The 24,622-nt window shown below is 35.9% G+C and overlaps 2 protein-coding genes across 8 annotated transcripts in view; one reads left to right on the top strand and one right to left on the bottom strand.

Moving 5' to 3' along the window:
- The window catches only part of NXPE2 (neurexophilin and PC-esterase domain family member 2), a 349,427-nt gene that overhangs the window by 166,230 nt on the left and 158,575 nt on the right, over nucleotides 1-24,622 (top strand). The window contains exons 1-2 of one of the 3 annotated variants that reach the window (XM_011542604.3): nucleotides 19,429-20,540; nucleotides 20,737-20,920. The exons of the other annotated variants lie outside the window; for them this stretch is intronic. The gene's annotated coding sequence lies outside the window, so the exon portion shown is untranslated. Of the gene's footprint in view, nucleotides 1-19,428; nucleotides 20,541-20,736; nucleotides 20,921-24,622 lie in introns of those variants that run through there. 3 annotated transcript variants of the gene reach the window in all.
- NXPE4 (neurexophilin and PC-esterase domain family member 4) overlaps nucleotides 1-24,622 on the bottom strand; it is a 107,660-nt gene that overhangs the window by 59,915 nt on the left and 23,123 nt on the right. Inside the window, exons 1-2 of one of the 5 annotated variants that reach the window (XM_047427151.1) lie at nucleotides 21,004-21,039; nucleotides 17,736-17,840 (exon numbers count right to left, since the gene is read on the bottom strand). The gene's annotated coding sequence lies outside the window, so the exon portion shown is untranslated. Of the gene's footprint in view, nucleotides 1-17,735; nucleotides 17,965-20,657; nucleotides 20,698-21,003; nucleotides 21,040-24,622 lie in introns of those variants that run through there. The other 4 variants (XM_047427149.1, XM_047427147.1, XM_047427150.1 and 1 more) reach the window with 4 other exon arrangements.

Raw genomic sequence — 24,622 nt, forward strand, 5'->3', positions numbered from 1 at the left:
TTATACAAAAATCAATTCAAGATGGATTAAAGACTTAAACGTTAGACCTAAAACCATAAAAACCCCAGAAGAAAACCTAGGCATTACCATTCAGGACATAGGCATGGGCAAGGACTTCATGTCTAAAACACCAAAAGCAATGGCAACAAAAGCCAAAATTGACAAATGGGATCTAATTAAACTAAAGAGCTTCTGCACAGCAAAAGAAACTACCATCAGAGTGAACAGGCAACCTACAAAATGGGAGAAAATCTTCGCAACCTACTCATCTGATAAAGGGTTAATATCCAGAATCTACAATGAACTCAAACAAATTTACAAGAAAAAAACAAACAACCCCATCAAAAAGTGGGCAAAGGACATGAACAGACACTTCTTAAAAGAAGACATTTATGCAGCCAAAAAACACATGAAAAAATGCTCACCATCACTGGCCATCAGAGAAATGCAAATCAAAACCACAATGAGATACCATCTCACACCAGTTAGAATGGCAATCATTAAAAAGTCAGGAAACAACAGGTGCTGGAGAGGATGTGGAGAAATAGGAACACTTTTACACTGTTGGTGGGACTGTAAACTAGTTCAATCATTGTGGAAGTCAGTGTGGCGATTCTCAGGGATCTAGAACTAGAAATACCATTTGACCCAGCCATCCCATTACTGGGTATATACCCAAAGGGCTATAAATCATGCTGCTATAAAGACACATGCACACATATGTTTATTGCGGCATTATTCACAATAGCAAAGACTTGGAACCAACCAAAATGTCCAACAATGATAGACTGGATTAAGAAAATGTGGCACATATACAGCATGGAATACTATGCAGCCATAAAAAATGATGAGTTCATGTCCTTTGTAGGGACATGGATGAAATTGGAAATCATCATTCTCAGTAAACTATCGCAAGAACAAAAAACCAAACACTGCATATTCTCACTCATAGGTGGGAACTGAAAAATGAGAACACATGGACACAGGAAGGGGAACATAACACTCTGGGGACTGTTGTGGGGTGGGGGGAGGGGGGAGGGATAGCACTGGGAGATATACCTAAGGTTAGATGACGAGTTAGTGGGTGCAGCGCACCAGCATGGCACATGTATACATATGTAACTAAACTGCACATTGTGCACAGGTACCCTAAAACTTAAAGTATATATATAAAAAAAGTATTGCCTCGTGGGTAACCACTGTTACCCGGTGGGTAATAAGTATTGCCTCGTGGGTAACCACTGTCACCCGGTGGATAATAAGTATTGCCTCATGAGTAATCACTGTTACCCAGTGGATAATAAGTATTGCCTCATGGGTAACCGATGTTACCCGGTGGATAATAAGTATTGTGTCGTGGGTAACCGCTGTTACCCAGTGGATAATAAGTATTGCCTCGTGGGTCACTACTGTTACCCGGTGGATAATAAATATTGCCTTGTAGGTAACTACTATTACGTACTGGATAATAAATATTGCCTCATAGGTAACAGCTACTATTACCTAATAGATAATAATTATACTTTATATATAATATATAATTTAATAATATGTAAGAATTGTATAGTATAATATTATTATATTGTAAATATAATGTAATATATAAATTATATATTATAATAAAATATATTATAATTTATTATGTTATAAATAAAATTTATCATATAATATATAATAAATAAATGATCATATATACATATTATATATGTATATGTATATATGTATAATATATATGTATATGTGTATATATGTATAATATATATGTATATATACTATATATGTATATTATCCACCACCACCACCAATACTTATTATCCACTGGGTAACATAATAGAATATATAATATATAAATATTATATATTACATATAGTTATATATGATATAAATATAAATATACATATATAATTTTATATAATATAAATATAAATATATAATATATAATTTATAAGAGTTATACATTATATATACTATATAATACTCCATAATATATATTATAGTATTTTATTTTATATTATATTTTGCTATATATTTATTATATATGTATATATTTGTTATATATTTACATATATCATATATTTATTGTATATTGATGTATATATTTATATTTTATATATATTTATATATAATAAATGTAAATAATAAATGTAAAATAAATATATAGTATATATATTTATATATATAAATTTATATATTTATATAATATAATATAATATATATAATATATAATATATATAAAATATATTATAATATATCATATATTATATAATTATATATTATATATTATATAATTATATATAATTATATATTATATATATATAATTTATAATAATATATTATAAAATTATATAATTATATAATATATAATTATATAATTATATATTATATAATTTTATGTAATACAATATTATATTTTATATAATTATATAATAATATATATTATATGATATTTTATATAATTATATATTATATATTATATATTTTTATATAATATATAATAATATATATTATATAATATATAATGTAATATTTTATTATATAATTGCATTATTATTTTATATTTTGTTTTTTATAATTTATCTTTTATGTATTTTATATATTTTACATTATATTTTATATAATTTATATTTCATATATTATTTTATATATTTGGTATTTTATTTTATATAATTTATATGATTATATTTTATTATGTATAAACATGTATATTACATTATATATATAAATATATGTAACATATAATATATAATATATAAGAATGTTATATAGTATTATGTTATATTATAAAATTCTAATGTAATAAAATATATAATTATATTATGTGGTATTACATTTTATTATATGATTATATTATATATACTATATAATATATTATGTATTATATTATATATTATATATTATATTTTATTATATGTTATATACAATATAGTATAGTATACAATGTATATTTTTTCTTTTTTTTATTTTAGTATTATTATACTTCAAGTTTTAGGGTACATGTGCACAATGTGCAGGTTAGTTATCCATATATACATGTGCCATGCTTGTGTGCTGCACCCATTGACTCGTCATTTAGCATTAGGTATATCTCATAATGCTATCCCTCCCACCCTGCCCCCAGCCCACAACTGTCCCCAGAGTGTGATGTTCCCCTTCCTGTGTCCATGTGTTCTCATTGTTCAATTCCCACCTATGAGTGAGAACATGTGGCGTTTGGTTTTTTGTCCTTGCGATTGTTTACTGAGAATGATGATTTCCAATTTCATCCATGTCCCTAGAAAGGATGTGAACTCACCATTTTTTATGGCTGCATAGTATTCCATGGTGTATATGTGCCACATTATCTTAATCCAGTCTATCATTTTTGGATATTGGGGTTGGTTCCAAGTCTGCTATTGTGAGTAGTGCCACAATAAACATATGTGTGCATGTGTCTTTATAGCAGCATGATTTATAGCCCTTTGGGTATATACCCAGTAATGGGATGGCTGGGTCAAATGGTATTTCTAGTTCTAGATCCCTGAGGATTCGCCACACTGACTTCCACAATGATTGAACTAGTTTACAGTTCCACCAACAGTGTAAAAGTGTTCCTATTTCTCCACATCCTCTCCAGCACCTGTTGTTTCCTGACTTTTTAATGATTGCCATTCTAACTGGTGTGAGATGGTATCTCATTGTGGTTTTGATTTGCATTTCTCTGATGGCCAGTGATGGTGAGCATTTTTTCATGTGTTTTTTGGCTGCATAAATGTCTTCTTTTGAGAAGTGTCTGTTCATGTCCTTTGCCCACTTTTTGATAGAGTTGTTTGTTATTTTCTTGTAAATTTGTTTGAGTTCATTGTAGATTCTGGATATTAGCCCTTTGTCAGATGAGTAGGTTGTGAAGATTTTCTCCCATTTTGTAGGTTGCCTGTTCACTCTGATGGTAGTTTCTTTTGCTGTGCAGCAGCTCTTTAGTTTAGTTAGATCCCACTTGTCAATTTTGGCTTTTGTTGCTATTGCTTTTGGTGTTTTAGACATGAAGTCCTTGCCCATGCCTATGTCCTGAATGGTATTGCCTAGGTTTTCTTCTAGGGTTTTTATGGTTTTAGGTCTAACATTTAAGTCTTTAATACATTTTGAATTAATTTTTGTATAAGGTGTAAGGAAGGGATCCAGTTTCAGCTTTCTACATATCGCTAGTTGGTTTTCCCAGCACCATTTATTAAATAGGGAATACTTTCCCCATTGCTTGTTTTTCTCAGGTTTCTCAAAGATCAGATAGTTGTAGATATGTGGCATTATTTCTGAGGGCTCTGTTCTGTTCCATTGATGTATATCTCTGTTTTGGTATCAGTGCTATGCTGTTTTGGTTACTGTAGCCGTGTAGTATAGTTTGAAGTCAGGTAGTGTGATGCCTCCAGCTTTGTTCTTTTGGCTTAGGATGAACTTGGTGATGAGGGCCCTTTTTTGGTTCCATATGAACTTTAAAGTAGTTTTTTCCAATTCTGTGAAGAAAGTCATTGGTAGCTTGATGGGGATGGCATTGAGTCTATAAATTACCTTGGGTAGTATGGCCATTTTCACGATATTGATTCTTCCTACCCATGAGCATGGAATGTTCTTCCATTTGTTTGTATCCTCTTTTATTTCCTTGAGCAGTGGTTTGTAGTTCTCCTTGAAGAGTTCCTTCACGTCCCTTGTAAGTTGGATTCCTAGGTATTTTATTATCTTTGAAGCAATTGTGAATGGGAGTTCACTCATGATTTGGCTCTCTGTTTGTCTGTTGTTGGTGTATAAGAATGGTTGTGATTTTTGTACATTGATTTTGTATCCTGAGACTTTGCTGAAGTTGCTTATCAGCTTGAGGAGATTTTGGGCTGAGACAATGGGGTTTTCTAGATATACAATCATGTCGTCTGCAAACAGGGACAATTTGACTTCCTCTTTTCCTAATTGAATACCCTTTATTTCCTTCTCCTGCGTAATTGCCCTGGCCAGAACTTCCAGCACTCTGATGAATAGGAGTGGTGAGAGAGGGCATCCCTGTCTTGTGCCAGTTTTCAAAGGGAATGCTTCCAGTTTTTGCCCATTCAGTATGATATTGGCTGTGGGTTTGTCATAGATAGCTCTTATTATTTTGAGATATGTCCCATCAATACCTAATTTATTGAGAGTTTTTAGCCTGAAGTATTGTTGAATTTTGTCAAAGGCCTTTTCTGCATCTATTGAGATAATCATGTGGTTTTTGTCTTTGGTTCTGTTTATATGCTGGATTACATTTATTGATTTGCATATATTGAACCAGGCTTGCATCCCAGGGATGAAGCCCACTTGATCATGGTGGATAAGCTTTTTGATGTGTTGCTGTATTCGGTTTGCCAGTATTTTATCGAGAATTTTTGCATCAATGTTCATCAAGGATATTGGTCTAAAATTCTCTTTTTTGGTGGTTTCTCTGCCCGTCTTTGGTATCAGGATGATGCTGGCCTCATAAAATGAGTTAGGGAGGATTCCCTCTTTTTCTATTGATTGGAATAGTTTCAGAAGGAACGGTACCAGTTCCTCCTTGTACCTCTGGTAGAATTCGACTGTGAATCCATCTGGTCCTGGACTCTTTCGTTGGTAAGCTATTGATTATTGCCACAATTTCAGAGCCTGTTATTGGTCTATTCAGAGATTCAACTTCTTCCTGGTTTAGTCTTAGGAGGGTGTATGTGTCGAGGAATTTATCCATTTTTTCTAGATTCTCTAGTTTATTTGCGTAGAGGTGTTTGTAGTATTCTCTGATGGTAGTTTGTATTTCTGTGAGATCGGTGGTGATATCCCCTTTATCATTTTTTATTGCGTCTATTTGATTCTTCTCTCTTTTTTTCTTTATTAGTCTGCTAGCGGTCTATCAATTTTGTTGATCCTTTCAAAAAACCAGCTCCTGGATTCGTTAATTGTTTGAAGGGTTTTTTGTGTCTCTATTTCCTTCAGTTCTGCTCTGATTTTAGTTATTTCTTGCCTTCTGCTAGCTTTTGAATGTGTTTGCTCTTGCTTTTCTAGTTCTTTTAATTGTGATGTTAGGGTGTCAATTTTGGATCTTTCCTGCTTTCTCTTGTGGGCATTTAGTGCTATAAATTTCCCTCTACACACTGCTTTGAATGTGTCCCAGAGATTCTGGTACGTTGTGTCTTTGTTCTCATTGATTTCAAAGAACATCTTTATTTCTGCCTTCATTTCGTTATGTACCCAGCAGTCATTCAGGAGCAGGTTGTTCAGTTTCCATGTAGTTGAGTAGTTTTGAGTGAGTTTCTTAATCCTGAGTTCTAGTTTGATTGCACTGTGGTCTGAGAGACAGTTTGTTATAATTTCTGTTCTTTTACATTTTCTGAGGAGAGGTTTATTTCCAAGTATATGGTCAATTTTGGAATAGGTGTGGTGTGTTGCTGAAAAAAATGTATATTCTGTTGATTTGGGGTGGAGAGTTCTGTAGATGTCTATTAGGTCCACTTGGTGCAGAGCTGAGTTCAATTCCTGGGTATCGTTGTTGACTTTCTGTCTCATTGATCTGTCTAATGTTGACAGTGGGGTGTTAAAGTCTCCCATTATTAACGTGTGGGAGTCTAAGTCTCTTTGTAGGTCACTCAGGACTTGCTTTATGAATCTAGGTGCTCCTGTATTGGGTCCATATATATTTAGGATAGTTAGCTCTTCTTGTTGAGTTGATCCCTTTACCATTAAGTAATGGCCTTCTTTGTCTCTTTTGATCTTTGTTGGTTTAAAGTCTGTTTTATCAGAGACTAGGATTGCAATCCCTGCATTTTTTTGTTTTCCATTTGCTTGGTAGATCTTCCTCCATCCTTTTATTTTGAGCCCATGTGTGTCTCTGCCTGTGAGATGGGTTTCCTGAATACAGCACACTAATGGGTCTTGACTCTTTATCCAATTTGCCAGTCTGTGTCTTTTAATTGGAGCATTTAGTCCATTTACATTTAAAGTTAATATTGTTATGTGTGAATTTGATCCTGTCATTATGATGTTAAGTGGTTATTTTGCTCGTTAGTTGATACAGTTTCTTCCTAGTCTCAATGGTCTTTACATTTTGGCATGATTTTGCAGTGGCTGGTACCGGTTGTTCCTTTCCATGTTCAGCGCTTCCTTCAGGAGCTCTTTTAGGGCAGACCTGGTGGTGACAAAATCTCTCAGCATTTGCTTGTCTGTAAAGTATTGTATTTCTCCTTCACTTATGAAGCTTAGTTTGGCTGGATATGAAATTCTGGGTTGAAAATTCTTCTCTTTAAGAATGTTGAATATTGGCCCCCACTCTCTTCTGGCTTGTAGAGTTTCTGCCAAGAGATCTGCTGTTAGTCTGATGGGCTTCCCTTTGAGGGTAACCCGACCTTTCTCTCTGGCTGCCCTTAACATTTTTTCCTTCCTTTCAACTTTGGTGAATCTGACAATTATGTGTCTTGGAGTTGCTCTTCTCGAGGAGTATCTTTGTGGCGTTCTCTGTATTTCCTGAATCTGAACGTTGGCCTGCCTTGCTAGATTGGGGAAGTTCTCCTGGATAATATCCTGCAGAGTGTTTTCCAACTTGGTTCCATTCACCCCGTCACTTTCAGGTACACCAATGAGATGTAGATTTGGTCTTGTCACATAGTCCCATATTTCTCGGAGGCTTTGTTCATTTCTTTTTATTCTTTTTTCTCTAAACTTCCCTTCTCGCTTCATTTCATTCATTTCGTCTTTCATCACTGATACACTTTCTTCCAGTTGATCACATCAGCTCCTGAGGCTTCTGCATTCTTCATGTAGTTCTCGAGCCTTGGTTTTCAGCTCCATCAGCTCCTTTAAGCACTTCTCTGTATTGGTTATTCTAGTTATCCATTCGTCTAAATTTTTTTTCAAAGTTTTTAACTTCTTTGCCTTCGGTTTGAATTTCCTCCTGTAGCTCAGAGTAGTTTGATTGTCTGAAGCCTTCTTCTCTCAACTCATCAAAGTCATTCTCCGTCCAACTTTGTTCCATTGCTGGTGAGGAACTGTGTTCCTTTCGAGGAGGAGAGGTGCTCTGCTTTTTAGAGTTTCCCGTTTTTCTGCTCTGTTTTTTCCCCATCTTTGTGGTTTTATCTACTTTTGTCTTTGATGATGGTGATGTACAGATAGGTTTTTGGTGTGGATGTCCTTTCTGTTTGTTAGTTTTCTTTCTAACAGACAGGACCGTCAGCTGCAGGTCTGTTGGTGTTTGCTAGAAGTCTACTCCAGACCCTGTTTGCCTGGGTAACAGCAGCAGTGTCTGCAGAACAGCGGATTTTCGTGAACCGTGAATGCTGCTGTCTGATTGTTCCTCTGGAAGTTTTGTCTCAGTGGAGTACCCAGCCGTGTGAGGTGTCAGTCTGCCCCTACTGGGGGGTGCCTCCTAGTTAGGCTGCTTGGGGGTCAGGGGTCAGGGACCCACTTGAGGAGGCAGTCTGCCCATTTTCAGATCTCCAGCTGTGAGCTGGGAGAACCACTGCTCTCTTCAAAGCTGTCAGACTGGGACATTTAAGTTTGCAGAGGTTACTGCTGTCTTTTTGTTTGTCTGTGCCCTGCCCCCAGAGGTGGAGCCTACAGAGGCAGGCAGCCCTCCTTGAGCTGTGGTGGGCTCCACCCAGTTCGAGCTTCCCGGCTGCTTTGTTTACCTAAGCAAGCCTGGGCAATGGTGGGCACCCCTCCCCCAGCCTCACTGCCGCCTTTCAGTTTGATCTCAGACTGCTGTGCGAGCAATCAGCGAGACTCTGTGGGCATAGGACCCTCCGAGCCAGGTGCAGGATATAATCTCCTGGTGCACCGTTCCTTAAGCCCGTCGGAAAAGTGCAGTATTAGGGTGGGAGTGACCCGATTTTCCAGGTGCCGTCTGTTACCCCTTTCTTTGATTAGGAAAGGGAACTCCCTGACCCCTTGCGCTTCCTGAGTGAGGCAATGCCATGCTCTGCTTCGGCTCATGCACGCTGCGCTGCCCCCACTGTCCTGTGCCCACTGTCTGGCACTCCCTAGTGAGATGAACCTGGTACCTCAGGTGGAAATGCAGAAATTAGCTGTCTTCTGCATCGCTCAGGCCGGGAGCTGTAGACTGGAGCTGTTCCTATTCGGCCATCTTGGCTGCCCCACCTATGTAACATATTACATATAATTTATTTATATATAATTTACTTGTATTATATATGTAATATATTGTATCTATTCTATAATATATTCTATAATATATAATATAGTAATATAATATAAAATAATATATAATATATATTATATTAAATATAAAATAATATAAAATATAATATATATTATATTAAATATAAAATAATATAAAATATAATATATATTATATTAAATATAAAATATAATATATATTATATTTTATATTAAATATAAAATATGTTATATATTATATTAAATATAAAATATAATATTATATTATATATTATATTAAATATAACATAATAGTTTGTATTAAATATATTATATATAATATAATATAATAATGTTATATAATGTAATAATATATTATTTTATAATGTAACATAATTATATTATTTTATAATATATAATTTATTTAAAATATAATATATAATATAATGTAATATAATATATGATTATATATTGTATTATGTTATATGTAATATATTATATATAATATATGATATATTAATAATATATATAAATAATTTATATATTATATATAATTTATATATATTATATTTTAAAATGTAATTTATATATATAAATTATATATTATAAAATATAAAATATATAGTATATAATATATAATACATTATTTTGTTCATTTTAAATTTTTATATATTTATATATTATATGTTTATATTGTATCCATATATAAATGTAGCATATATATGCTACTGTTTCTTTATCCACTCATGTGTTCGTCAGTTGTGAATTGTGCTGCAATATATATTCACGTGCAGATGTCTTTTGATGTGACTTCTTTTCCTCTGGGTAGACACCAAGTAGTGGGATTGCTGCAGTCAATGGTAGATCTAATTATAGTTCTTTGAGAAACCTCCATACTATTTACACAGAGGTTGTACTAATTTACACTCCCACCCACAATGCATAAGTGTTCCCTTTTCACCACATCTTCACGAACATCTGTTGGTTTTTTACTTTTTAATAATGGCCATTCTGACTAGGGTAAGGTGGTATCTCATTATGCTTTTAATTTCCATTTCCCTGATGATTAGTGATACTGAGTATTTTTTATATGTTTGTTGGTGTTTGTATGTCTTCTTTTGAAAAATGTGTGTCCATGTAATTTACTCACTTTATAATAGAACTATTTATTTTTTCTTCCTAATTTGTTTGAGGTCCATGTAGATTCTGGATATTAGTCATTTGTCAAATGTGTAGGTTACAAATATTTTCTCTCATTTTGTAGGTTTCCTGTTTTCTCTGTTATTTGTTTTGCTGTGCAAAAGGAAAAAGGCAGTAGAACACATAGAGCAAGAATTAGAATTAAGTGTAATCAACATCATTGGAGAATGATAAGGTACAAATATGTAAAATGCAAAACAGAAACAAGACATCAGAAAGAAGAACCAGTTGAAGTTTCTTGGTCTGAAAAGTATAATAACTGAAGTAAATAGTAGTCTGGTGCACGAGTAGAATGTATACAAAAATCAAATTAGTGAGCTGGAAGATTAGGCTGAAGAACTCTCCCAGAAATAATCAAGAAGGAATATAGAGTTGAGAAAACATGAAAGACAAGTTTAAAAATATGGAGGAAAGAAATAATAATATCACTATCTATATTTTAAAAATTCCAGAAAGGTAGTGTAAAAAATCCAGTGAAAAGTGGAGAAGCAATACGTTATTTTCAAGTACACATGAAACCCAAAAATAGACTACATACTGAGTCACAAAGGAAATCTCAGCAACTTTCAAATTCATCATTTAAATGTAAATTGCAATGAAATTGCAAAATATTTGACAATGAATAACAATGAAAGTACTTTATATCAAACATTAGGGAATGCCACCAAATTATATTGAGAGGGAAATATGTAACTGTACATGCAGCTATTAAATAGCAGTGAAAATTAAGACTAAATGTGCTAGGTGTCCAAGTCAAGAATAGGAAGAGAATAGCACAGTAAACCTGGAAAAAGTAGAAATCAAGAAATCACAAATGGAAAAGATACTAATAGGAGGTAAAACAAAGAAACAATAGAGATGATCAACAGAATAAAACCTAACTCTTAGAGCACACTGAAAGTGGGCAACGTTCTAGTACATTTGATCAAGGGGAAAAGAAAATACAGAAGCGATTAATTTTCAAAATGAAAAAGGGTATATCACATCTGACACCAGGAAGATTTTTTAAAGATTATTTGGGGAATAAAACAGGATACACATCTGAATTGGTGTTCTCATGAAAGAACACTAGAGTAACTTTATGCCAACACATTTGCAAAGTTTGACACAGAGGACATATTTTTGTGGTATATAACAACACAATTGATGAGAAGATAAATTTTAAAAACCCAAATAAAAAAGTAATTATTCTCTGCATAGTTATTTCTTTCCAAAGAATACAGCATGGAAAAGGAGAAAGATTAACTTCCAAAGTGGAAAAGGCTGGCAAACACTACCTCAGCTAGATGATCAAGATCAACACTAGCAGTGAAAATTGTAATGTGTACCCTTGATATGATGTGATGAAAATGGCATTTTACTTCTGTGGTCCTTCTCCCCCAGTTCAAAAAACCCGGTCTAACAATGAGAAAAACACCAGATAATTCCCAATTGAGGGATACTGTTTATAAAATACCTGACCATGAGCAGTGGTTTGTAGTTCTCCACATGTGCAGAACATAGATATACACGTACCATGGTGGTTTGCTGCACTCATCATCCCACCATCTACAGTAGGTATTTCTCCTAATGCTATCCCTCCCCACTCCCCCCAGCCCCCGACAGGCCCAGGTGTGTGATTTTCCCCTCCCTGTGTCCATGTGTTCTCATTGTTCCACTCCCACTTATGAGTGACAACATGCAGTATTTGGTTTGTGTTAGTTTGCTGAGAATGATGGTTTCCAGCTTCATCTATGTCCCTGCAAAGGACACGAACTCATCCTTTTGATGGCTGCATGGTATTCCATGGTGTACATGTGCCACATCTTCTTTATCCAGTCTATTATTGATGGACATTTGGGTTGGTTCCAAGTCTTTGCTATTGTGAATAGTACTGCAATATACATATGTGTGCATGTGTCTTTATAGTAGAATGGTTTATATTCCTTTGGGTATATACCCAGTACTGGGCTTGCTGGGTCAAATGGCATTTCTAGTTCTAGATCCTTGAGGAATCGCCACACTGTCTTCCACAATGGTTGAACTAATTTACACTCTCACCAACAGTGTAAAATAATTCCTACTTCTCCACATGCTCTCCAGCATCGGATGTTTCCTGACATTTTAATGATCGCCATTCTAACTGGCATGAGATCGTGGTTTTGTGGTTTTGATTTGCATTTCTCTAATGACCAGTGATGATGAGCATTTTTTAATGTTTGTTGGCTGCATAAATGTCTTCTTTTGAGAAGTGTCCATTCATATCCTTTGCCCACATTTTGATGGGGTTGTTTGTTTTTTTCTTGTAAATTTAAGTTCTTTGTAGATTCTGGATATTAGCCCTTTGTCAGATGGATAGATTGCAAAAATTTTCTCCCATTCTGTAGGTTTCCTGTTCATTCTGATGATAGTTTCTTTTGCTGTGCAGAAGCTTTTTAGTTTAATTAGATCCCATTTGTCAATTTTGACTTTTGTTGCCACTGCTTTTGGTGTTTTAGTCATGAAGTCTTTGCCCATGCCTACATCCTGAATGGTACTGCCTAGGTTTTCTTCTAGTGTTTTTATAGCTTTAGGTCTTACATTTAAGTCTTTAATTCATCTTGAGTTACTTTTTGTATAAGGTGTAAGGAAGGGGTCCAGTTTCAGTTTTCTGTATATGGCTAGGCAGTTTTCCCAACACCATTTATTAAATACGGAATCCTTTCCCCATTGCTTGTTTTTGTCAGGTTTGTCAAAGATCAGATGGTTGTAGATGTGTGGCGTTATTTCTGAGGCCTGTGTTCTGTTCCATTGGTCTATATATCTGTTTTGGATACCAGTTCCATGCTGTTTTCATTACTGTAGCCTTGTAGTATAGTTTAAAGTCAGGTAGCATGATGCCTCCACCTTTGTTCTTTTTGCTTAAGATTGTCTTGGCTATATGGGCTCTTTTTTGGTACCATATGAAACTTAAAGTAGTTTTTTTTTTAATAATTCTGTGAAGAAAGTCTGTGGTAGCTTGATGGGGATAGCAGTGAATCTATAAATTACTTTAGGCAGAATGGCCACTTTCATGATATTAATTCTTCCTATTCATGAGCATGGAGTGTTTTTCCATTTTTTTGTGTCCTCTCTTATTTTCTTGAGCAGTGATTTGTAGTTCCCCTTGAAGAGGTCCTTCATATCCCTTTTAAGTTGTATTGCTAGGCATTTTATTCTCTTTGCAGCAATTGTGAATGGGAGTTCACTAATGTTTTGGCTCTCTATTATTGGTGTATAAGAATGCTTGGGATTTTTGCACATTGATTTTGTATCCTGAGACTTTGCTGAAGTTGCTTATCAGCTTAAGGAGATTTTGGGCTGAGATGATGGGGTTTTCTAAATATACAATCATGGCATCTGCAAACAGAGACAATATGACTTCCTCTCTTCCTGTTCGAATACCTTTATTTCTTTCTCTTGCCTGATTTCCCTGGCCAGAACTTCCAATACTACGTTGAATAGGAGTGGTAAGAGAGGACATCCTTGTCTTGTGCTGGTTTTCAAAGGGAATGCTTCCAGCTTTTGCCCATTCAGTATGATATTGGCTGTGGGTTTGTCATAAATTGCTCTTATTATTTTGAGATATAGTCCATCAATACCTAGTTTATTGAGAGTTTTTAGCATAAAGGAGTGTTAAATTTTATCAATTGCATTTCTAAGCAGTAATAATAACTTACTAAAAATGTAATAGAAAAATATCCTATTTGCTACTGCATGTACAACATCTAAAATTAAAATAAGATATAAAATATTTTTATGGACATTACAATATTGAAGGACATGAAAGAAGGCATGAATAAATGGAATATTATGTCATGTTTATGAACTGGAAGTTCTAATATCATAAAGATGGTAATTCCCCCTCAAATTTTATCAAATCTCTATAAGCTGATTCTAAATGTTATATGGAAGAGCAAAGGGCCAAAAATACATATCTAAATCTGCAGAGGATGAAAATAATGGAGCCCACCCTGCCAGATATCAATTTAAAAAAAAAAACTGTAATTAAGACAGTGTAGCATTTGCATAGCTATAAACAAATTGACCACTAAGATAGAATTAAAAGCGCAGAACTCAATCTATTAATAAAAGCTTGATAAATAACAGAAATTGTCATGACATATTGATGAAAAAGCATAAACACTTAATAAATGATTATTCACACTATTAAAAAAAAAAACAGGCCGGGCATAGTGTTTTATGCCTGTAATCTCAGCACTTTGGGAGGCTGAGGCAGGCGGATTCCTTGAGGTCAGGAGTTCAAAACCAGCCTGGCCAACATGGTGAAACCCCATCTTTACTAAAAATACAAAAATTAGCTGGGCGTGATGGCGTGCACTTATAATCTCAGCTACACAGAGGCTGAGGCAGGAGAATCACTTGAACCCGAGAGGCAGAAGCTGCAGTGAGCTGAGATCATGTCACTGCACTCCAGCCTGGGTGACAGAGTGAGACTCCATCTCGAAAATAAATAAGTAAAAATAAAAAAACCCAGTCCCCAAAAGATTCCCTATACCACATCATGCATGCCTCTGCAAATTCCAGGTAGATTAATCTGAATGTGAAAAGGCGAACTTTAAAATTTCAGGAGAAAATGGAAAATGATGTATTTTCTGGAGAATAAAAGGATTTCTGAAAGACAAACAAAAACCAAAAACAAAAACATAAATGATAGAAGAAAATGTTGATAAATTTAACTATATTAAATTTTTGAATTTCAGTGCAATAAAAGATACCCTAAACCAAGTTAAAATGCAAGGCATAAGCTATGTCCAATTAATAAAATGAACAATGTATTTGTGTCCAAAGTTAGCAAAGAACTCCTCCAAAGTAAAGGGAAAGAAAACCCAAAAGAAAAATGAAGAAAAGACATGAATAAAGAATTCATATAAAGTGATATTTGAATGACTAATACGTATATGTGAAAATATTCAATGTTACTAATTATAAAATAAGTGAGAATTCAAATCACAGTGACAGATGTCATGTTCATTAGATAGGCCAAATTTGAGAGTATAAAAATTATAATTTGTTGATAAGTATTTGGCATAATGGGCTCTTCTATCCTTCTGCTATGAGAGTCATTTTGGCAGAAAATTTTGGCAACATCTAGTAAAATTAAATATGTATATAGCCTTTGACTCAGCATTTATATCTATTGGTTAGTACTTCAGAGAAAAATCTCTTGATTTTGCTAGGTTAAATGCAGATATGATATGATCTGCAAATAATGACAACTTGTGACTTCCCTTCAACTTCTTTTATTTCTTAATATGTTTTCTCATTTTTATATGCTGGCCTGAGGTAATAGTGGTAACTTTGTCATTTCTATATCTTAAACTAACTATGTCTAAAGTTTCTCTGTTAAGTGTAATCACTGCTATGGAATTTCAGCAGATAGCCTTTTAAAAATATGAGGGCTCTATTCTACTTCTAGTTTTTCAAGAATTTTTTTCATAAATATTATGTATATTTATATTACAAATAAATATAAATAACTTAATCAAGTTCTTTTCTGTATCTATTAAAATAAGTGTTAATTTTTATCCTTAAGTCCTTAGGTGGTATTTCAGTGAATTATATTTATAAATTTTTCTGTTATGAAAACATTCTTGTATTCTTGAGGTGAATCTCATTTCATCATGAGGTTAAGATCACTTAACTTTATTAGAACAATGTAATTTTTTAAAAAACCTGAATTATAAAAGTGAGTTATCATAAGTCAAATATAGTTGCTATTCATTTCAATAAGAAAATATGTTACATATTCTCAGCATCAAAATAACAAGTATTTTTACTATAACACCACCAAATACCATTAAAATAGACCCAATTACCTCAATAATTAAAAATTATTTTGAGGACACAACCTGCCAAGATAGTTTCTCTTTATTAATTACACAATATAATAAGTTTTGTCTTTTCTCATTAAAGAGTTTTCTTTTTAAGCTAGTATACACTTTAGGCTTAAGACTATGGTTACAAAGCAGGACCATATGTGATTCTCAATGTTTATCCAAAAAACAAAAAACAGAGCAAAGGAACTTGATAGAAGCAAGGCAAATGATATTATACTCACTAGAAAGTTGCCAAATAAGAAGCATGAGATTGGAGATTATCAGTGCTGTAAACCAGCACAAGTGTCCTGAAAGGAGAAGAGACACTGACGGCACACCTTCAAAGGTGAGCCATGATTGGGTCTCATCTCCTAAAGCACACCTGCTTGCAATGTGCCCTAAATCCAGAATGAACCTTGTGAACAAACATGAGCCCTCATAAGTTGAAATGGTAATATTAAATAAAACTGCTAATTACAGTGATTCTCATTACCTGAATGGATATTTATCACTGCTATATTATTCACCTTCTACATTCGTAGATTTGGGTAAGTAATGTCTCACTTAAGATTTTGAGTTTATGTTCCTAAGTTAAATGGGCCTGTAATTTTCTTTTATTGTACTGTGCTTATGAGCTTTGGTATAAAGTTTTATAAAATGAATTTTGGGTGTTCCCTTTACTTTCTAGAACAACTTATATAAGATAGAAGGAGTTCTTCCATAAAAGTTTGATAGCTGTCACTTGTAAAACTATCTAAATCTATCTAGTGCTTATTTAAAGGGGGACAAAGTCTTTACCATGTTTTATTTCCTTAATGCTCACTAACTATGTAAGTTTCCTGTTTTTTCTTAAGACAATTTTGGTATTCTCTATTTTTTGGAAATGTGTCACTACTAGGTTTTACATTTGCTGTTTAATAAATTTCTTAATATTCTCTCTTTCAGCTTCTGGATTATATATGGTTATTTATTCTGATTCTGTATTTTGTCTCTTTCTCTCAATCAGTATTTGGGAGACTTATTTTATTTTATTTTTTTTTTTTTTGAGACAGAATCTCACTCTGTCACCCAGGCTGGAGTACAGTGGCATGATCTGGGTTCACTGCAACCTCTTCCCCCTGGGTTTAAGCGATTCTCCTGCCTCAGCCTTCTAAGTAGCTAAGATTACAGGTGCCTGCCACTGTGCATGGCTAAGTTTTGTAATTTTAGTAGAGACGAGGTTTCACCATCTTGCCCAGTCTCGTCTTGAACTCCTGACCTCGTGATCCACCTGCCTTGGCCTCCCAAAGTTCTGGGATTACAGGCATGAGCCACTGTTGCCGGCCGACTTAACGTTTTTTTAAGAACTAGATTTTAGTTTTGTTAATATTCCCTGTGGTATATAAGACATATATTGAGTCTTTGCCCTGGTTCCTGAGACAGAGCTCCAAAAACCCTTAGAATCTCCTAATGATAGGAGTATCTTTGCCTATTTATAATGAGCCCTTTTTGAGCACATCTGAGTTTGTGCTAGTGAAGTGATTCAGGGAGGGGCCCCGAGATGACCTTAAGATGGGGGCTACTCACCAGTCTGAATTTGAAGGCATGAGAACCAGGAGAGCCAATGGTGTAGGTTCAGTTCAAAAGCTGGTAGGTTGAAGGTCCAGGAAGAGCCAATGTTTTGGTTCTACTCTGAAAACAGGACAAAAACCCATATCTCAGTGTGAAGGCATTCAGGCAGGAAGAATTCTCTCTTACTCAGCGGAGGGTCAGACTTTTGTTCTATTCAGGCTTTCACAAATTGGATGAGGCTCACCTACATTGGGGAGGACAATTTGCTTTAGTCAGTCTACTAATTTAAACGTTAATCTACCAAAAAACACTCTTATAGAAACACCCAGAGTAATGATTATCAAATATGTATACCTCATGACCCAGTCAAGTTGATACATAAAATTAATCATCGTGTCTACACTTGTCAAGTTAGCACCCATATGCATCTCCTTAAGTCATACTTAATCTCCAAATGAAGACAATGACAAGGTTGTAATTCCACCTAATATATGATACAACTATCCCGCATACAACTAAAAACTTACTAACTTCTTCTCCAGAAAAGGAGATAAAGTCCTTGAGTGATGTTTACTCTTCTTGATAGTCTATAACTTAAATACTTGATATCTTATAATTTGTATACCATAGTCAAAATGATATAATATAAAGTGAACAGTACTTAAATACTATGATACGAAGTCAATACATCTTATGTTATATGATAAGGGGATAAGAGGAAACAAAAAAATATTTGCTTTTTTATACACACAATACAAATATATTTTTATACAAAAATAATAAGGAAATACTCATGACAATTACAGTCCTTGTTTATGTAACTGGTCACATGGTTATAACTGATATTTATCCTCCACTACCATTCCATATTCCTTTCGCCTTCAGCAAGCACCTCAGCTTGTCATGTTTTTTTTTTTTTAACTGGTGGGGTGACCCAAACCTTTACTTTTGAAGGGTCTGGACCATTAATCCTGCCTTGATTGGGTCATTTTAGTTTTCCATGGACCTTAATCTTAGGGCATGGTAATACTAATGAACCACACAAAGACTTGCACATACATGTTCTTAGAAGCATTATTCTTAGTAGCAAAAAATTAGAGAAAATCTAATGTATTTTAACTGGTGAATGGATAGACACAATGTGGCATATGAACACAATGAAGTAATATTCAGCAATGAAAAGGAATGAACTACTAGTACATGTTAGCATATGGAAGGACCTCACAACTATTATGCTCAGTGAAAGAAACCAGACACAAGAGACCACATGTTGTGACTCCACTTGATTGAAATTGCCAGAAAAGGCAAAGCTATAGAGACAGAAAGCCCATCAGTGGTTGCCTGGGCAACTAGGTAAAAAACATCTTGAGATGATGAAAATTTTCTAACTTATGAAGATGGTAATACACCCCTATGAAATATAAAGTAGGTTGAGCTGGAAGAAGACTGGAGGCGGGGGTAACAGGTAGTAGGAGGAAATGATCATAGGAGTCCAAGGCCAGGTGGGGTGATGAATCCAATTGCCTTTTTTGACTCACAAAATAGCCTCCAGAATAGACTTTCTGCCTTTGGGCTAATATTTACCAACCATTTCCCATGTTCAAATATGTACTTGAGGGTTCTGACACTCCTTTCAGTTACAATGTTTTACTAAGGCAGGGATTCTAGGGCTGGTTGGTAAATGCGTGCAGTTTGTAAGAAGCTTCAATTGTACATTTGAAATGGATGAATTATATTATATGTAAAATATGCATCCCATAGAGTTCTATTTTAAAAGGTCAATAAAGATTTCTGTTTCTACATAAACTGTAATAAACTTCAAAAACACTGCTTCCACCCTAACAATGAGAAAAAAAATCCAGGTAATATACAAAAGTGTAACTTTCTCAAATACATCATAAAGCTCAAGTAGCAAGAAGACCAAATGGCCGGAATTCTAAAGAGGAACAAGCCCTTTCAGGGAGAGATAAAATACACAAACGATTTCATCTTTGGTAGAGCACAGGAAAAAGAGGAGAGAGCATATAAAAAGGAAAGAAGAATCCTGCAAGAATAAAAATGAATTGTTAAACGCCAAATGTGAGCTAGTGTGCTAATTTGGAATAGCTGGGATCACCAGAAAAGAGGATGTCACAATCACCCATGAGCTCTTCCCTATGATCCTCCACTGCTATTTATGAGAAAGACTCAGAGAAGACCAGGAGATTGAGAGGGTACTCCTATTTGGTGCAGGCATGAAGGAAGTAATTGGCAGCAGCTAGGGGATGGGCATAAAGCCCTGGCCTTAAGCAACAGCCTTACATCAATGGAGGAAGGGCAAGTACTGTTCTCCTTCCCCAGGAAGTGAGAAAAAATCTACACTGCAAAGGGAGGAGGTGGAAGAATAAGACCTCTATCCCTAGGGAAGGGGCAGGAAGCTGTCTTGGACCCAGGATATATGCTGATATCAAGCAGAAATCTGCTACCATCATAAGTAGGGCAGGCAACTCCCACCCAAGACCAACCATGGATACAAGGCAGAGTGCGGTTGCCACAAGAAGGAGGAGCAAGAACTCTGGAAAGACTCTCTCTAAGTTCCAGGTACTTGCCAAAGACAAAGGCTGGACCCGGAAAACAGAGTCTCACTGCTGCCCTACCCCAAGAAACAACAGTAAAAACGGCAAGCTGCAGCTGGTGGAGGGGCAGCCTGGTAATACTGGCTAACAGAGATGGCTGAGAGCACATCAGGAAGCAGGAACACTGAGGAAAAACCCTCTTGCAACTCAGCCCCCACCCTAAGCACAAGGCAACAAAGAATTTGAAGTCTGTGGTACATTGAAGGTAATAATATAATAGCTAGCATAATGTATAATAATATATATACAATATTACATATATTATATATAATAGAATGTGTCCAGATTTGGTTCCTTCCAGTGGGTTCTTGGTCTCGCTTACTTCAAGAATGAAGCCGTGGACCCTCGCGGTTGAGTGTTACAGTTCTTAAAGATGGTGTGTCTGGGGTTTCTTCCTTCAGATGTTCAGATGTGTCCGGAGTTTCTTCCTTGCGGTGGGTTCGTGGTCTCGCTGACTTTAGGAGTGAAGCCGCAGACCTTGTTACAGCTCGTTAAGGTGGCACGTCCGGAGTTGTTTGTTCCTCCTGGTGGGTTCGTGGTCTCGTGGTCTCGCTGGCTTCAGGAGTGAAGCTGCAAACGTTTGCGGTGAGTGTTACAGCTCATAAAGGTAGTGTGGACCCAAAGAGTAAGCAGCAGCAAGATTTATTGCAAAGAGCAAAAGAACAAACCTGCCACAGCATGGAAGAGAATCCGAAAAGATTGCCACTGCTGGCTTTGCTGGCCAGCCTTTATTCCCTTATTTGGCTCTGCCCACATCCTACTGATTGGTCCATTTTACAGAGCACTGATTGGCCCATTTTACAGACTTCTGATTGGTCCGTTTTACAGAGAGCTGATTGGTCTGTTTTTACAGAGTGTTGATTGGTGTGTTTGCAAACCTTTAGTTACACACAGAGCGCTGATTGGTGTGTTTTTACAGAGTGCTGATTGGTGTGTTTACAAACCTTTAGCTAGACACAGAGTGCTGATTGGTGCATTTACAATCCTTTAGCTAGACAGAAAAGTTCTCCAAGTCCCCACCCGACCCAGAAGCCCAGCTGGCTTCACCTCTCAATAATAGCAAAACAGAAACCATAAACAAAACAAAGAAACAAACCAAATTATTAGGGTGCTGTTAGGTTCACAGTGGCACTCCAGCTTGCTGCATCCCAGGTTGAAGTGGAACTTGAAACTCAATTGGAACTCCAAAGCATTTGTTACCCAACTGATAAAGCTATTTACTTTTTCTAAAACCTACACCAATACTTAAATTTTTTTTTAATCTACTGCCTAGAGTGTTTCACACACTGGCCAATGCACTCTAGTAAGATTCAGGATGGGTGAGAGATAAGCAGGGAGAGAAGGGTCATACTGAGAGGGGCTCTGAGACCTCAGTTGAGTTAGCAGGTGAATTTGGTGCATGAAAAAGTATTTATGGACATTGAGCATCTGGAAGGGGAAATGATGCCCTTAAGGCATCCTGTTCCTTCCTACCCCTTTGGAAAGGCTTCAGAGCACCAGAGCCAAAGCTCCCTGTGCCTAAGCTTGAAACTCCCTAGACTGCGATTTGTACAGTCAAAAATTCAGTGTCCAGAGTGAGATTCCAACACTTTCAGGATTTGAGATTTTGGGCAGATGTGTTAAGCTTTTAGGGTCACACAATTCTCTACTATATAATGAGGATTATGATGGAATTCATCTCTAAGGGCTGTTTTGAGGATTAAAAGAGATGGTCCATGTAAAATGCTTAACACAGTGAGTGTTGCTCGACATATGTTAACTGTTATTGTCATAATTGTCATCAGGAGGTAATAAAGTCTTGAAATCATTCTTGAAGTTAGAATTAAGAAGAGGTAATTGAAGCAAAGAATATTGTAGAGAACCTGACTTGCTGAATGAACATGAAGAGTGATAGAGCACAGTCAAGAATGGCTCTGTGTTTTGAGACTCTGGGGTTGGCAGAATAGTGGCATCTATGGCACACTGGAATGCCTGTGTCTAGTTTATAAAAGGCAGCGCATTCAGCTAGAGCATTTTCCATTTGGTACTGCAAGCCCAGTGGTGCCAATCACTTTTTCAAGTGAAGCCAGAAATCCAGATGATTATGTAAAATCTGAAGTTTTAGTATTCTTAAAAATCTGGAGCAAACAAAAGATGACTGTGAGAAGCAAATTTGCAACCTCTGTGTAAAATCTGGGGGGTTCTGCTGATGTAGAACTCATCATTATATATTCCATTGAGCCTTGTGCCTTTTTACTCATTGAATGTATAAATTTTCAAAACAAGGGTTTTCTAAGAAGCATAAATAACAATACTGACTTGTTTTATAAGTTTCAAAGTTATAAAAGTATCTGGAGAAAGGGTTTTTAAAACAAAACATTTATTATTCTAGATTTAACAGTGTAGGACTGGAGGTGCAAAAGGCAATGTAAGCAAACATTATAAAAATGTTCTATAAGGGCTGAGCCCCAGACAATATTGTTCAAGAAAGCAGCAGCCATCTCAGTCTGTTCTTGGTACTTTTATTGTCCCTATAAGCTCAACGGTTTTGTTGTATAGACAATAAACCATCTATTTTTTTTCTCCCTTGCTCATGTGACTCTACATTTCTTTCTGCCTCCAGAAGGCAGCTTTGAAAATATTTAACCCTTGGGTGCTTGTACTCCGTATTTCATTACCTTTTCTTGTTAGGACTACCCTTGTCCTGCTTTCCCTTTTTTTTTTTTTTTTTTTTTAGACAGAGTCTTGCTCTGTCGCCCAGGCAGTGGCACGATCTCGGCTCACTGCAAGCTTCAACTTCTGGGTTCATGCCATTCTCCTGCCTTAGCCTCCCGAGTAGCTGGGACTACAGGCGCCCACCACTATGCCTGGCTAATTTTTTTGTATTTTTAGTAGAGACAGGGTTTCACTGTGTTAGCCAGGATGGTCTTGATCTCCTGACCTCGTGATCTGCCCATCTCGGCCTCCCAAAGTGCTGGGATTACAGGCGTGAGCCACCGCGCCTGGCCTGTCCTGCTTTCTTTTCTACCTACCTCTAGAAAGCTCAAGATTCCAGCTTTCCTAAGCAAGGAGCAGCAATCTACATTTGTAAACTAGAGAGGAAGTTCCCATGATGTCTTGAAACATGAGTTCCAGTTAGCCAGGAGAAGGAGGCATACTTGGAAGGAAGGCATACCCGGCAGAGGGAAAAACATGCAAAGCATGAACATAGGAAAATCAAGTTATGTTTGGTAATGACAATGATACAAAGTGGTGAAGGTATGTACAAAGAAGCAGGAGATGAAGTTGGAAAGTAGACCCCACAGTGGCTTTCAGGATCCAATCTACAACCCTCAGCCTGGCATTGAAGTCTCTTTATCACTGAGCATTTCCAGAGTGAGATGCCTGCCTTCCACCCAGAGAAAAACACATCCAAAGCCCCTCAGGAGCTTTGAATGAAACAGAGCTGTGTTAAATACATGCTCTGCCACATTCAAGCTACCGGATCTCAGGAAAGTTGTTTAAAATCTTTGGATCCCAACTATTTTTTTTTTATTTCTTCTAAAAAAAAAATGGGATACACATGCAGAATGTGCAGGTTTGTTACATAGGTATATGTGTGCCATGGTGGTTTGCTGCACCTATTGACCCATCTTCTATGTGCCCTCCCCTCACCACCCCAACCCCCAACAGGCTCTGGTGTGTGTTGTTCCCCTCTCCATGTCCATGTGTTCTCAATGTTCAACTCCCACTTATGAGTGAGAACATTCGGTGTTTGGCCCTCTGTTCCTGTGTTAGTTTGCTGAGGATGATGGCTTCCAGCTTCATCTATGTCCCTGAAAAAGACATCTCGTTCCTTTTTTATGGATGCATAGTATTCCATGGTGTATATATACCATATTTTCTTTATCCAATCTATCACTGATGGACATTTGACTTGGTTCCGTGTCATTGCTATTGTAAATAGTGCTGCAATAAATATATGTGTGCATGTGTCTTTATAGTAGAATGATTTATTTTCCTTTGGATATATACCCAGTAATGGGATTGCTGGGTCAAATGGTATTTCTGGTTCTAGATCCTTGAGGAATCGCTATACTGTCTTCCACAATGATTGAACTAATCTATATTCCCACCAACAGTGTAAAAGCATTCCTATTTCTCTACAGCCTTGCCAGCACCTATTGTTTCCTGACTTTTTAATAATCACCATTCTGACTGGTGTGAGATAGTATCTCATTGTGGTTTTGATTTGCATTTCTCTAATGACCAGTGATAATGAGCTTTTTTTTCTTCATATGTTTGTTTGCCACGTAAATATCTTCTTTC

The sequence above is a fragment of the Homo sapiens genome, chromosome 11 (assembly GCF_000001405.40).
Source record: "Homo sapiens chromosome 11, GRCh38.p14 Primary Assembly".
NCBI classification, from domain to species: Eukaryota; Metazoa; Chordata; class Mammalia; order Primates; family Hominidae; genus Homo; species Homo sapiens.